The following is a 16,141-nucleotide window of genomic DNA, read 5'->3' as shown; positions in this document are numbered from 1 at the left end:
TTGAACTGCAAACACATGCCACATCTCTGTGCTCTATCTAAGCTCCAACTGAGGGAAATCATTTTCTCAAAGGTCATCAATGTTCTATACTGATTTGAACCTGTTTTTCCCTTTTGAAGTTAAACTGGAGAATCAGACCATCGACTGGCAATGTGTAGGGATGTGTGAAACATTTTCCAACCGTGGGCTGTAAAAAGAAAGGGACTTGAAGCAGATGGTGTGCAGTATTAAAGGGCTAATCACTTTCAATGTATTTTGCTACATTACTTAGTAGCACGGGTATATTAAAAGGAGCTGAATTGTTAAAGGTCTTGTACCCCAACCAAAAATTAAGTTTTAAAATGGTGCAGGAAGACTGCCTTACTCAATTGAGCACTACATAAAGAATAGAAGCAGTTCCGAACTTCTCTCCTCCTACTTGCAGCCAACAGTATTTGTGGGTTGTGGAAAAGGGAAAGGGAATAGAGAGAAATATTTGCATTTAATGTTGTTGTTGGCCAGAGGAGATATCACTTAGATATACTCGAAAGAGGGTTCAGTCAGGTTAAAATCTGACATCAATCCATTTTCTTTGTCTTGGATTATGTTTGGTTTGGTGTGTCTGCTCGTCTCTCAAATAATATTAATAGTATGAAAAGTGCCCTTCAGCAACAACTTGGTGAGACAAATACTTCTATGTAGTACCAGATATTTGCCTAGGGATTTCTTTGTCCTTTTGGCAGTGAAAGAGAGGGAAAGAGAGACCTTTACATAAATCCTGTATCCCAGTTAACTCCTTCCTTTTCTCCATAAATATCCAAAGTTAAAATATCACTCGTGAGGAGAGGAACATGCTATCAAAAATTTCTGTGTGAAATTGTACACTTAAGTTAAGCAATGCTGTAAGCAAAATTATTAACTTATTATTTTATAATTTTATTCTGTATCTATCATTACAATCATTAATTGAATTATTATTAACTTAATAAAAGAAGCATAAGGAGATATAACTATATAGACAGAAATGTTAACACTTATAATATAGGCTATTAGGATTGAGGGTCTTATCCTAAATATTCAAGTGTGCAGACAACCTAGCTAACATTACTGAAAAAGCATGAGATGAGGTTTGGCAGAGAACAAAAGCTAGTAAATGAAGTCCATGTTTATGAATATGACAAGCGGGCACCATGGGAAGAAGCATTGTGGTCTAACCCAAAAATATTATGCATCAAACTTTTAGCATGTGTGAAGTCTCCCTCAAGTGTGGAAACATTCTTCACTTGATCCTACTCTGCAGAAAATCCATGGAAGGTTTACCAAGGCATTCTCCCGAGTAACCTCAGGGACTTCACTCTGGTTTTCATGTTTCTAATGTGAAGAGGAGAGATGTAAAAATATGTTACCTCGTCTCTGTGTAACTCCTGCTGCCCTTGTGTAATTCTTCAGGTCCATACAGGCTTTGGACCTGGGTCCCACAACAAGACATGGATTCTCTTGCAGCTCATTCTGAAGAAAAGCGTGAGACTGAAAGAAATGTTGATGATTTAAGCTTCAAGAATGAAGTTCCTGCACTGATGGTGAGTGTACACTAAAAGTTGTGGTGCTAGGTACCAGGAATAGAGAGATGAAAAGGACTCAGAGTTAATCATCTTGAAAAGCTCACAGTGGAGCAGGAGAAGCAAATAGGTTACCAGTGATGTCAGCGGTCAAGGCTGTAATAGATGGAGTGTTGATTCCATCCATTTGGGGCATGTTGACAAGGGTTTCCGAGAAGAGTTTATACAAATGGAATGACTAGCCTTTCTTGAGAGCTTATTACAGGACACACATGGTTCTGAGGGCTTTATAATCATTCTAATTTACTCTTTTCAATGAATTATGCAGAAGGCTTTATTAATAACCCTATTTTAGAGATAAGGAAAGTAAGGTTTGAAGATGTTCAGTAGCTTGTCCAACATCCCATAGCTAAAGAATGGCAAAGTCCAACGTCCAACTCCAGTCTGCAGACTTCTCAGTTCACACACAGGCTGTCATGCCCTACCTCAATGTTAGAGAGACGTCAAAGGAACAAACAGAGTTTATTAAACCAACTGTAAAATGTTCCAAGTTTTCTACAAAGAGTTTTCTAGAACAAACTGTAACACATAACACTGTTGTCCAAAGACATTTCACCATAATATAAGCAACCTTGTTTCATGAATTGGGGATATCCTGGAACTATTCCATGTAAATGAAATTTTTGGAAATAGCCTCACTTAAAAAAAAATCAACATACTGAGATATACATTTCAGTCATCTCCTACCCCAACCACTAACCCTGGACAAGCACTGAGGTGTTTTCTGCTAGGCTAAACTTTGGTTTTGCATTTCAAGTAAAGGAATAAGACAGAAGATGTTCCTTTGTTTCTGAACTTTAATTTTTGCTAAAAATTATTTACATTATATATTTTTAGAAATGTTTATTTTTTGACTAACAATTTTTAGAAAAACTTTTAGGTTCAGGGGTACATGTGCAGGTTTGTTACATAGTAAACATACGTAATGGGGGTTTGTGATACAGATTATTGCATCACCCAGGTATTTAGCCTGGTACCCATTAATTATTTTTCCTGATTTTCTCCCTACTCCCACTCTTCACACTCCAAAAGTCCCCATTGTGTGTTGTTCCCTTCTGTGTGTCCATGTGTTCTCATCATTTAGCTTCCACTTATAAGTGAGAACATGCACTATTTGGTTTTCTGTTCCTGTGTTAGTTTGCTAAAGACAATGGCCTCCAGCTCCATCCATGTCCCTGCAAATGAAATGATCTTGTTCTTTTTTATGGCTGCACAGTATTCCATGGTATATATGTACCATGTTTTCTTTTTTCAGTCTATCACTGATGGGAATTTAGGTTGATTCCATGTCTTTGCTATTGCGAACGGCGTTGTGGTGAACATACGCCCATTACTGGGTATATACTAAAAGGAATATAAAACATTCTATTATAAAGATACATGTTTCTGGACCCTACAGCTCTGTATATCTCTGAGATTCATCCATGTCAATTCATGAATCGGTTTTGTGTTCCTTTTTCCTGTTCAGTAGTATTCCTTTGTATGGCTACACTACAATTGTTTACACAGTCTCCTACTGAGGGATAGTTGGGTTGTCTCTAGTTGTTGGCTGTAAATAACATTACTTTCAAAAAGGCATATAGGCACTTGCTTTTCAGAAGAATGCTACAGTGAATCATCCCACCACTTACCTGCTTTTCAAAACTTGCAGAGTCCACCACTCTTTGGTTTTGGACACATCAGGCCATTGATTCTGGCTTCAAGGACTCCGCCTCTGCTCATCGGTACCCTTAAGCTTTGACTCATGCCCTCTATTTCTGCATGGCACTTAACCAATTTTGGTCTATGACTTTTGGTTTGATTCAAATCATGTGACCTCAGAGAATCCCACCCATCTAAATTGACCTAAAATAATATCTCAATCCAGTCACCAGGAGTTGAAGGTATTATGGTAACAGTAAGCAGAGGACAGGACAATTTTCCAAAATTATCCATCAGTTCTTCTTTTGCCTTAAATTTCTAAAATTAATGGACTCCTGCCTTTGAATTAGCTCTCTTTCCCATAGGCAATGAAAACATGTTGAATTAGTTAAAAAGAAAGTTGCAGGGCATGAGAATCAATATCTTTATTATCATGTGCCTTGATGAGAGAAGGTAAATATATGAAAGACAGTGCAGTCTTGCAAAGCTGGCTGCATAATAAGGATGACACAGGGTAGCAGTTTCTGTGCTACACCTCTGGTCAAAGGCTTCATCTCACAGACAAAAGGTTACAACCTCTGGCTTTAAGCTAAATCCTTCCATCAGATCCACAGTGAGATATCTGGAAAGCCACTTAAACGAAGTGCTGTCTGTCTGCAGAGCAGAAGTCATAATCCGCAGAATCCTTTGGTGTCTCACGCTGTCCATCATTATTGGCATGTTGGGCCTGGCTGCATGGAAATTAGTTGAACCCTGGCAAAAGGCTCTTGAAGTAGGCCAGACATTTATCATTGAAAATAGATAGAAAACTTGCTTTTTATTTGGCCATTTTTTTCCCCAGAGAGTAAGTTCCATTGAACTTGAAGTGACCCATGATTATAATAGCAATTTTATCTTCCAACTGGAGAGGAGGAGGATTTGGGGGCAGTACATTTACTGCCTAGTCTAAGGGCCTCAAAGGAACTTTTACAAACCATATCTTCTAAAACATCTCCCTGACTGATTTTAGTTTTTTTATGGTGTCACCCACTGCAATCCAATTGTGATGAAATGCCCATTCATGGAGGCACTTAATGTCCTAAGCTCTTTTTAGTATATTTTACATAAACAAATGAACCTATTTCTGAGTGTATTTTGAAATTTATATTTTGATTATCTTTACACAAAATTTGAATAACTTAAGTCATGAGATTTTACACTGTAAAAACCATCTATATGCATCATTTGTGACCCAGTCAACAAAGGATTTACCGCCTGGACAACTACACTGTGGTACAGTGGTTAGAGTTCTACATTTGGGTCAGCCCATAGAGGCCAAATTCTAGCTTTACCTCTTGCTAGCTTTGTGACCTTATGCAACTAGCTTAGCCTGATTGTGCCTCAGGTTTACCATCTGTAAAACTAGAATGATACTATAAAGACAGTAGCTATCTTATAAGGTCATTGTGAAGATAAAATGAGATAACAAATACCTGGCACAGAGCAAGTGGTCAATAAATATTAGCTTTTATTACTGCCCTGTTACATCCTCTGGAGTGCAAAAGAAATAAGCAGAGGGTTAGATCTCCTTCCATCAGAATCATTTCATATGGCTGAGAGGTGGCATGCTGAGGTCTACAGAGAAATGACACAAGGCGGGTACCAGGCAGTGATGTATACTATCAGCATTTTGCACTGGTGGAAGTCAGGTTTAAATGATGTGTCACATACTCATGAGAAGTATAAGATGTGGTGTTAATAGTGTAGAACAATCATTTAATGCAACAGCAGTTGCAGCAGCACTGGGTTTGTCTGGGAGGATTGCTCAGTAGACAGAGGATTTGAGCATAGCTTTCACAGATCGGGAAGAAAGAGAAAGGCAGTTATCATCTTATACTTAACTAGTACATGACTACATACAATGAAGTATTCAAATATTAATTTGGTTATTATAAGGTGGGCATTTTTATTCACAATGCCTAACTATCTGCCATTGTAGCTAATTTGAAATTAGGTAGGATTATGGTATATCCAAAATACAAGAGAAAATTAAGGAAATTTTACTCATTAAATTGAGCCCATTATCACAGAGCAATGCATTTTAAGAGTGTTCCCTACAAAGGCAAGATGGGAAAACATTTTAGAAACAGAGCAGTCATATTTTAAGACTTTTTTGACTAGTACTGATTTCATCTTTTATTTAGCCAGGGCATGGATGTTTATTTCCCAAAACGTTCCTGATAAATCCAGCAGACTGCTGTATCTTTTTGCAACACAAATGCACATCATATATAGTTGATCCCAATTTAATATAGGACTTTGTCAATCTAAGAATGACAGTGGAGGACTAGACTCATTTGTCTCATAAACTGTACTCTGGTATTGGGAAACTGTAGGTCATAAATACCAGGGGGAGGACAATTTACATCAGGGTAAACTACAGAGGAGAAGTTTATGATGTCACCATGAACTGGAGTTGTATATTTATGAAGGTCCAGTGATGGATGCGATTTAGCTATAAGGGAAGATTTTCATTTACCATAAATCGAGCCTAATCAGTTTACTGTTTTCATTAACAGATAATGTGTGAAGAATATGCTTAGAGAATATTAAAAGTCTGAAAAAACATAAGGCCTTTGGCTAACTGTAACATAAAAACATGTTTTCTTTGGATTTAACAAATTACTAAGAGAAATGATAATTATTTCATTTTCTACTTCTAAATAGTCTACAACAGAAATTGGTGAACATGAATTGTAAAGAACTTGATAGTAAATATTTTTTACTTTGTAGGCCATATGGTCTCTGTTGAATCTACCCAATTCTGTAGGGAGAGAGAAACCATGGCTCATATGAAAATAAATAAGTGTGACTGTGTTCAAATAAAATGTCATTTACAAAAACAGACTGCAAGATGGCTTTGGTCTTCAGGCTGTAGTTTGATGACCCAGAGTCTACAATAAATTAATTTGAAAAGAAAAGCTTACTGTTTGGTTGTCTCTAGTCAGCCTTGTAGCATTGGGTATTTGTTTTCATAGCACATATCATATCACCTTGATTAAAATAAACAAGGAGAGGCCAAAACTGGAAGGGACATATCCTTGTTCCTATATTTTCTTCACTATGGGTCACACAACATGCGAGGATTCATTCTTTGGGCCAGATACAGTGTTATGAGTGAGAATACAGAGTTGAAAAAGCCATCACTCTTTTCTGTATCTTAAAAGATGTTATGAAAAGAGTGGGTCTAACCAGAGAGAGAAAAAAAATGATAAAACAAATGGCACATACTTTGGAAGGCCATACACTTCACAGGGAAAGAAAGCAGAGAAACAAACAGAATATACTACAGTGGCAACATAGGGAATAATAACTGTCAACGGGGATATTACTCTGGAAGTTTCCTGATGGGATTTGCTCCTTTATATACAGTGGCAACTAATCCCACTTGTCCAATATATTTAGGCTTGCACTATTTTCTTTAGAGCTACTTTCTTATATGTGGTGGGGGTTGTATATATATGGTTCCCAGGGATGCAGATTAGGGCAGTATTTATCTTCAGAGTTGAGATTTTGAATTGAATTAAATATTTTCTGGGACACATGCACCACAATCTCCTCCTCCTCCTTTTATGTAATCCACTTTGTGACTCAACTTGCTGGCTGAATCAGATGCAATACTTAAAAGCCTTTCCACTCCAGTAGCCCCCGATGTAACCCCCCTAAATATGAACTCACGGAGCAGTAGAGAAGTGGCAATATCTCCCCTGCATGGAGCAAAGTCCATTCTTAGGCTGGCTTATTTTCCCCAGAAGTCAGCTAAACTTTCATGTGAATGCTGAAAACTCCATGACACTGCCTTCCTAAATACCTTAGAAATGGCATTTAGCTGTTACTGTGGGAGAGAACTTAAGAAAAATTCAGCACTGATAGAATTACATTTGCTCTTCATTCAATCTTGGTGAGCTTCCTAGGCACTAGAGCACATTGCTTTTACTGTGCTGTCATTTCTGAAAACCAAATTGCACAAAAACTTCTATAATCACCCAAGAGAACTCCTAAGTGGGTTTAGCGTCATTCCATGAATAATAACACTGATAGAGAGAGGGTTTGTGATGTCCCAGGCACTTCCAGACATGGTGACTCATGAAATCCTAGCAGCAGCTCAGGGCAGGCATGTCTCCTTATCTTACTGAAGGGGCACAGTGATGCGCAGAGAGGCAAGCATAACCTTCCGACACTTTAGATCACCTAATACAACCTTTTTGTTTTACAGAAGATGTAAAATAACGTCCAGAAGGATGAAGTAACTCGACCAGTAAAGAGGTCAGAGGGTGCTGCCACAGTCAGGAAGGGGCTGATTTTTAGACCAGAGTTCTTTTCACTGTTTTCCAATAGTTCTCTACTTTGTGCTCATATACCAATGTGAAATTAAAGAGACAACATGAGATAATGAAATTCATCAAAAGACAGCGCAGAGTAAACCAGCTGCAATAAAAGCAAAACCTTTCAAGGGTAAATGACACCAGGTGCCAGAAATGGGCTTAAAATAAGAGCTTTAAACATTTTGTTGGGAGAGAATTAGGTTCTGAGCTTCCTGTTATTTGCCCGTCCTATCTACATTCAGTGGCTGTCTTCTCATTTGGATAAAATCAGGGTTTATAATATTTTCTGTAGTTAACAATTAGATATGAATATTTTCTTTTTTTTTTTTTTACATATACAACTCCAGGTACTTGAAGATTTCACTAAATTCACACTGTCCAAAATTATACATACTTTTGTCTGCATTTTGAAATGAATGTCTTATTCATTTATATTCACAAAACATGCAGTGTCTGGCATAAAATAGGTGCTCAACAAATCTTCATGAAATTTATACAAAAGAGTTCTTTTTTTTTTTACTACTGTGAAATAGAAAATGTTCTCATCTTCTCACCAAGTTGTAATAATAATATTATTATGAATAACAGCTAGTATTTTTAATGTATATTGTGGCCAGACAATGTTCTAAGGGGTTTACACGGATCTACTCTGTTAATCCTCAAAACGATCCTGTAAGGTAGTATTAGTATTCCCATTTTATACATAAAAACCCTCCAAGACACAGAGCTGTTATGTAACTGCAACACAGTCCCCAACTAGAAGGTAGAAGTTCCAAGTCCTGCATGCAAACCCAGAATGCCTGTTCCCTGAGCCCACCCTTTTAATGATAAAAATGACTTAGTGAGTTATTATATTTTCATTTTGCTATAGTGAGAGCAACTAAGAAAAGATGAGATTCAAAATTGCTGTTATATAATAGTTATTTTGTGCAATAGAATTAATTGTGACAGATTTGGCCAGCTATAAAGATAGTTAAGGATCAAGAGTCTTCATTATTCTAATTTATCTTTTTTCATGTAACACATACACAAGTTAATGTGGAATGCCTATCCCACTTCCACCTTGAAGTCCCAGAAAAAAATTGTAAGGCAAACATAAGAATATCATACAGAACAAGCCCCCAAGTCCATCATCACATCCAAGGATGATGCTGAGACATTCTGCACAGAAATTTCAAAGTTCTTCATTCTGACACATTATCACCCACATATATTTGTGTAAAAGATTGCTAAACACCAAATTTAGGTCTATGAGTTAACTGAAATTATATCCAGAAAAAACTACCCTATTTCAAAGAAAAGATGAAAATGAGCCTTTTATTTCTCACATTCAAGAGAGTGGAAATAAAGAATCCAACAATTTAATGTACCTCCTTGTTTAAAAAAATGCATGAAAGTATTTAATGTCTACTGTGAGCCTGGCGCTAATAAGGCCTTGGACATACATGGTCCCTATTTTAAGGGTCTATGAGAAGTATATGTCAACCAAATAGCCACACACACCAAGCACAAAACTGCAATGTGATATAATTAAGACAAAGAGGTGAATTTTTGCTTAAGAACCTCTGAAGAAAGAATTTGATTTAGGGTGGCCCAAGATGACTCCATGAGAAGACAATGCTGGTACTAGTGTCTAAAGAATGAGTAAATGTCTGCTAAGAGTTGATGGGAAGGAAGAAGGAGGACAAATGACACAAGCTAACACCATAAGGTGAGAGGAAGTAGGAAGGCCGAGAATGTAAAGAAATAAAATACAGCCAGATGTGCTGGCACAGAAGGTCCCAGTATTGTGGCTGAGATGGGACCGTTGAGATCCTTGTGGCCATGTTAAGGGGACTTTTGTTTATTCTAAGATGAGTGGGAACCCACTGATTCATTAGCTGTTGTAGCATTTTCTTCAAGTTCATATATTTCCAGGGTGGTCAAGAGACTGAGTGGGAGGGCATGAGTCAGTCAGTCATGAGGCTACTGAACTCTATAGATGCCTTCTACAGTTCCCAATGTAGCTCACAGAAATCAAAATGCACATAAAATGCTTACATGGTTGTTAAGACTTGAATTGTGCTCCCCGCTCTCCCCAAAAAAGATATGTACAAAGGGAAAACTACTGATGCGTAATTATACGTGCTATCTTTCTCTTGGTCAAAATGATAGACAATGGTAACTACTACAAGATAGAACTACTACAAGAGAAATCTTTATCTGTAAATTAGGACAAAAATCACCCAACTTTTTTCTCAGTTTAAACCCAAATATTCCTTTCTTTTACTTTAAGCCAATTGAAGGTAAAAACCTGTCAAATGAATATTTACAGATTATAAAATCATTTCTTGGTAATAAAGCAGTTATATTCATTTCAGAAATTGATGAGAACTTATATTAACCAATATAACACTGAATAGTTTATTTTTCAGTAAAATACATGAAAATGAAAGAACAATTAGACACATCACTAAGAAATTCCCTAAAGAAAATGGTACGTGGATACATTATAATTTAGCTGGTATAAGTACATGTTTGTGCATTTTTAAAAGATAGATACTGTTTAAGAGAAAGTGCTTAAGACCTAAGACTGGACAATAATGCCAAGAATAAAATACCAGATTGCCCACATGCTAGCTGGGTAATGTTACTGCTTCTATTAAATTGAAGATATAATAGTATAGACCCCACAGAGATGTTAAAGAGATGACCTAAGTTAATGAAGTGTTCATTAGAAATTTTTCTCTGCGTTGACTCCCATTAGCACAATACAAATTCTCATTTCTTTCATCTTAACATAATAATAATCATTACTATTAATAGTATTAGATAATAATCCTCTTTCCCTTTATTCTACTTTGAAGTTAGCTTCAATGTCTCCCTTCCCTTTTTATAACAAAATTCCTCAAAAGTCTTGTTTACATTTGCTGCCCACAGTGACTCTCCTCCTATTCTTCCCTAAAACCACTTAGACTTTCACCCCCACTACTCCAATAAAACTGCTAGTCGATACCACCAATGAGCTCTGCATGGCTAATTTGACAGGCCATTCTCATTCTCATACTCTTTTGCAAACTGTTACTTGCTTCTCCTCCTTCCCTCCTCCGTGCTACAGGTTTTTAAACTTGAATTCTAGAACATCATGTTTTCATGGTGTTCTTTCTGTCTCATTGGTTCTTTTCCTCAATCGTCTTTGCTGATTTGTCCATTTCTTTGAGATTTCTGAAGCTGGAGTTCTTGGATCTCTACTCTTCCCTACATGCACTCATTTCCTTGGTGATCTCATCCAGTCTTCCATCTTCCATTGGAGATAAGTTTCAAATTTTCTACTTGTTTGCATTAATAAAGTGTTGATGCCAAATTATGTATGGGACCTAAAATGGCAAACTAAAATTTCATAACTAATAGACCCCACATATAACCATAATCCATTGGCCATTATTTATTTATACAAGCTCAATTAATAATATAATGACAGTGTAGAAATATTATGTTATTAACAAAACAACAGATAGTAATTGGGATTAATTTGACCACCTCAAAAAAGATTTAATTGTACGAATAAAGATTTGTGAATAAGAAGCACTTTCAGCACTGAAAAATATCAATAGCAACTAATCAGTCAAACTGTTAAGTGGTAGACAACCAATGCATTTACATTATAATTAATATTATTTAAAATAAATTGTTTTAAAGGGTAGTTGTAGATTTTTTGTTATAGGGTAGAATTTGAATTGTAATATGTAATTAATGTATGTTAGCAGCAATTTATCCACTCTCAAAGTGAAAAAAGAAAATAAATACTAATGGTTCAATTCAGTTCTTTCCTCTTCCCCATTATCTATGGCCCACAAAGATCATTCCTCTCTTTGACCCTATATATTATTTATAGTCTGTATTACATAGTTTGGCACTTATATTTCTGTGTTGTTCTTTATTCGGGGTGTATATATACATTTTCTCTATTTGGAAAAATTATTAGCAACTTAAAGGCCAGTTCTCCCATTCCACTTTCTCTAGCCCTTAGTAGTAGTAGCCCTTTGCTTTAACGCATTTGCTGAAAACAATGTGTTCAGAAAGCAAAGTAACAGTTACCAACAGTCCTATAAATAACATATGATATTCCCAATATTTTAAATAGATTTCAATTTAAAGCTTCTTTTTTTCTACCTTACTTTGTATATATTCCAAAGACCTGAAAGTGGGCTGAATCTCTGGGCTTCTTTTTATTCAGAGATAAAGACAATTTCCAATTCTCAAGGAATAAAAATAAACTGTTGTTATATCACTTGCACATGCTGACAAAGGCACCATTTTATTATTCTCTAAACAAGACAGGACCTGATCAAATTATTCTGGATAACATCTGCACAAAACTTGAGCTATCTATAGAATTCACAATGGGTTGACATAGCTGACCATTTCCAAATCTTATGCAACACCTCTGATATTTTTATGGTTTGTCATCTCCCACAGAGTGATTCTTTCATTCTGCTGCCTTCCTTCTACATGAAAACTTTCTTTGATTCTCTCCTGCTGCTTAGGAGTAAACTCCCTGATGTGTTTGCAATTTATTGTGATCTATTTTCCTTTTTCCAATAAGGATGAATTTTATACCCCCTTCTAATAGTGACCAATGGGAAAAATGTCTTCAGGTGATGTTAGTGACAAAATGCATTGCATCCCTTTGGTACTAAATAAGTGATATGTGGCTGTAAATATTGTATTGTATTGCCATTTTAATATAGGAAATGTTGAATAAGAATCTACAACAAGAAATAGGCACCAGACAGTGGCAATGAGAAAAGGTAGTTACTGCTATTTTTCTTTGACTTCTTATTTTATTAAATCCACAAGAAATTTGGCTTTGCCTATTTAACCACGTTCTCTTAAATGGAGGCACAATGAACCAGGTCTGGAGGTCAGCTAATGATGTAGCAAGAGGATCCATTATCAAAGTCAAGACTCACAATCCATTCCTGGTTTGTTTCTCCAAAGTGCTTATTTCTTTTAATTGAAGCTATAGCCACCTCAAACATGTCCACCACAGTTCCATCTGCATAGAATGATGTTCTACACATGTCCACCTTGAAAATATCTGTATCTTTGCAAAATTAGTTCAGGCATCAGGATATCTAGGTTCTTCCCAAGCCTGTGCACCAACTAACTACCCACTGCATCATTGAGACATAGTTTCTTACTTACTCTTTGGAGTAAACTGTGCAAATATTTTTGCTACACACAGCTCCCTACAAATTTCTCATTTGCCTATGTTCCTTTGTCTCTTATTCTGATATTTTTGTAGTGAGGATCCATGCCTTCTGGACCTCTCAGTACACTCTGCCTACCACAGCACCTGAAACAAGGTAAGTGCTCCATTAATACTTGCTGATTGTTAATGTTTGGATGACTTAAACATTCTTTGGACATCCTGCCTTATCCTCAACCCACTTGACATCACTTAGGAGTCACGATATTCTGCTTAACTCTCAACTTTCAGCTGCTGTTGAGTAGACCTATAGGGAAGGCAATTTTCACCCAAATAAGATTATTTTGGGAAGCATAGTTTATAGGAGGCTGTGTTGTAGCCTCTTGAGCCTGAAGGAGAGAACTGAGATGGCAGTGCAAGAATGCTGATATATACTCTCTCACCAATTCATATGCATCTGAGGAACAAACACAAAAGGCATGATCCATGAAAGAATCAATACACTGGACTTCATTAAAATTAAAAACTGCTCTGTGAAAGACACTGTCAAGAGAATGAAAGGAGAAGCCACAGGCTGGGAGAAAATATTTGCAGTAGGCATATCTGATAAAATACTGTTATCCAAAATATAGAAAGAATGATTAAAATCAACAATAAGAAAACAAGTCAATCAAAAAATGATCTAAAGACTTCGACACCTCACTGACATACAAATGGCATACAAATGGCAAATAAGCAAACAAATGGCAAATAAGCATACGAAAAGATGCTCCACATCATATGTCATCAGGGAAATGCAAAAGAAAACAACAATGAGATACACTACACACTTATTAGAATGACCAAAATCCAGAACACTGACAACACCAAATGCTGGTGAGAATGTAGAGCAACAGAAACTCTCACTCATTGCTGGTGGGAATGAAAAATGGTATAGCCACTTTGGAAGACAGTTTGTCAGTTTCTCCCAAAACTATAAATACTATCCTGCATTCTTGCTCCTTGGTATTTTCCCAAAGGAACTGAAAACATATCCACACAAAAACCTCCATGCAGATATTTATGAAAGCTTTATTCATAATTGCCAAAACTTGGAAGCAACCAAGATATCCTTCCGTAGATGAATGGATAAATAAAATTGTGTTACACCCAGATAATGGAATATTATTGAATCTTAAAAGGAAATGAGCTACCAGGCCATGAAGAGACACGGAGAAACCTCACAAACATATGACTAAGTCAAAGAAGCCAATCTGAAAAGGCTACATACTGTAGAATTCCCAACTACATGCCATTCTGGAAAAGCAAAAACTATAGAGACAATACAAATATCAGTTATTGCCAGGGATTAGTAAGGATGGAGAGATAAACAGGTGGGACATAGAGAGTTTTCAGGGCAGCATTATTCTGTAGGATACTGTAAAAGTGAACACATGTTATTAGATGTTTGTCCAAACCTACAAAATGTACAACACAAGAGTGAACCTAATGTAAACTATGGTCCTTTTTGATAATGATGTGTCAATGAGGTTCATCAGTCATAACACATGTGCCACTCTGGTGGGGACATTGATACCAGGGGAGGCTGTACATGAGGTGAGGGGCAGGAGGGGAAAGGTTATGTGGGAAATCTCTGTACCTTCCAATTTTGCTGTGGACCTAAAACTGCTCTGAAAAAGAATGTCTATTCTTTTAAAAAAATGTACTTAGATTCTTTTAGGTGGGAAAGTAAATTAGGTATCTTAAGGATAGACTATTCAATAAAAGAAAGTTCATTGTTGTAAATTTCTAAAAATAACAAAAAGTGATACAAATAATGTGTTATCAAGCAGACTATATTAATGGATTAGTTAGTTGATTAATGGATAAGAATACTCTGTAGTCAATAATTAAAACGTTATTCCATGTATGTAGATGCTTCTTAAAAATCAGAAAATATCTCAACTATATAAAATGTCTTTTGTATTAAAATAATTTTAACATGTATTTCAAAGAAAATCTTCACGTGTGATTTCAGTGGATTACCAGTGAAAATTTAACAATATAATCCAAATGAAAATATAACATGTAAGCTCATTCTATTAAGAAACAAGTGTGATTTGAGAACAGATAACTAAAGAGCACAGTTTTGGGGAAAAATACCCTAGCATTTTGCAGAATCATGAGGTTTAAGGTTATCTTTAAATAAATCAAATACTACTATCGTGAAAAAAATAGTTTTTCAATATAAGGTAGCTTGGATCAATAAATACGGATTCAGAGATTTCCAAACGAGAAATGGGATGAAGGAAAAAAGATTATTGCTGTTCCCCAAACTGCTCACTCAGTGTTTATGAAAGAGACCTGAATATCATCAGGAAAATCTCTGTTAGGTCTCTGTTGGATTCAGTGAATTGTGTTTGACTGGCTGAGTAGGCAGATTATGGTAATTTGAAAGAAACACCCCAACCTTTGCATAGAGGGTGTTCATGAATGATTTCCTCTTTATTTTCTTTGTTTTGTGGTTGTAATCAGATCCACGACGTGAAGTGTCATTAATCATGTATGATAATGATACTTCCACCATGATTTATGGAAAAGGCTAAAGCAATTCCGACACCTGACAATAGTTACAGTCATTTTATCTTGTCCCTGTGAACATGTTACTGTGTTTCATTGACTTGAGTAGTTTTGTGAATTTTAATAGTGTTCATATATAGTATTTAATTCCCGTGAGGACAACAATAACACAAATATTAAAAATAAAATTATAAAAATGAACTTGTCTTCCTTTCTGGAGCATCAGTAAAGAAATTCAGAAAACACATTAACGTGTATCATTATCTGGGGAAGGCAGTTTGAATTTGATCAACTATACTACTTCATAAAGATACAATTATTGCCACCATGTGAGTTTAAAGGGATTGACTAACACAAGGATAAGAGACAAATTGTCTACAGGTGTTAAATAGAGTAAAATTTTAAAATTCATATTTTTTTTATTTCTGTCTCGATTGAAGGTTTTAGGAGTGAAAATATAGTAATTAAGGCATTATATAGAACGGTCTATTAGAACAATTTATCCTGAATGTAAAAATTTGATTAAAGACTTGCAAATGATTTTACAAGCTTTACTCAGTTCTACACTTTAACCTCTACTTGGTTTTTGAAAGACAAAGAAATTGTTGTGGAGAATGGTAATATGATAATAAACTGATTTTTCTGCCTTATTTATAAATCCAATGGTTCCTTTGCCATAGTGGTGGTAAGGCGTTGTTCACACCGATGCATTGTACCAAGAAGAAAAGATTACATATAGGCAAGAAGCAGGGAAAGACAAATAGATGTTACTTAACCTTGAATTATAC

The 16,141-nt window shown here is 36.0% G+C and overlaps 1 protein-coding gene and 1 long non-coding RNA gene across 4 annotated transcripts in view, besides 1 other annotated feature; one reads left to right on the top strand and one right to left on the bottom strand.

Moving 5' to 3' along the window:
- Window positions 1-16,141, bottom strand: part of GPC6 (glypican 6) — a 1,191,492-nt gene that overhangs the window by 538,679 nt on the left and 636,672 nt on the right. The gene's annotated exons all lie outside the window — the stretch shown is intronic.
- Window positions 7,192-7,486: a silencer, noted in NCBI's record as "tiled region #9781; K562 Repressive non-DNase unmatched - State 24:Quies". NCBI's record gives its function as "represses a minimal TATA promoter and a strong SV40 promoter by Sharpr-MPRA in K562 cells {active_cell/tissue: K562}" and the evidence as "EXISTENCE:reporter gene assay evidence [ECO:0000049][PMID:27701403]".
- GPC6-AS2 (GPC6 antisense RNA 2) overlaps window positions 10,869-16,141 on the top strand; it is a 40,050-nt gene continuing 34,777 nt past the window's right edge. The window contains exons 1-3 of the long non-coding RNA NR_046536.1: window positions 10,869-10,899; window positions 12,334-12,393; window positions 12,891-12,951. This is a non-coding gene — a long non-coding RNA (GPC6 antisense RNA 2). The remainder of the gene's footprint in view (window positions 10,900-12,333; window positions 12,394-12,890; window positions 12,952-16,141) is intronic.

This window comes from Homo sapiens, chromosome 13 (genome assembly GCF_000001405.40).
Source record: "Homo sapiens chromosome 13, GRCh38.p14 Primary Assembly".
NCBI lineage: Eukaryota > Metazoa > Chordata > Mammalia > Primates > Hominidae > Homo > Homo sapiens.
This window is presented reverse-complemented; position numbering and strand designations above follow the sequence as displayed.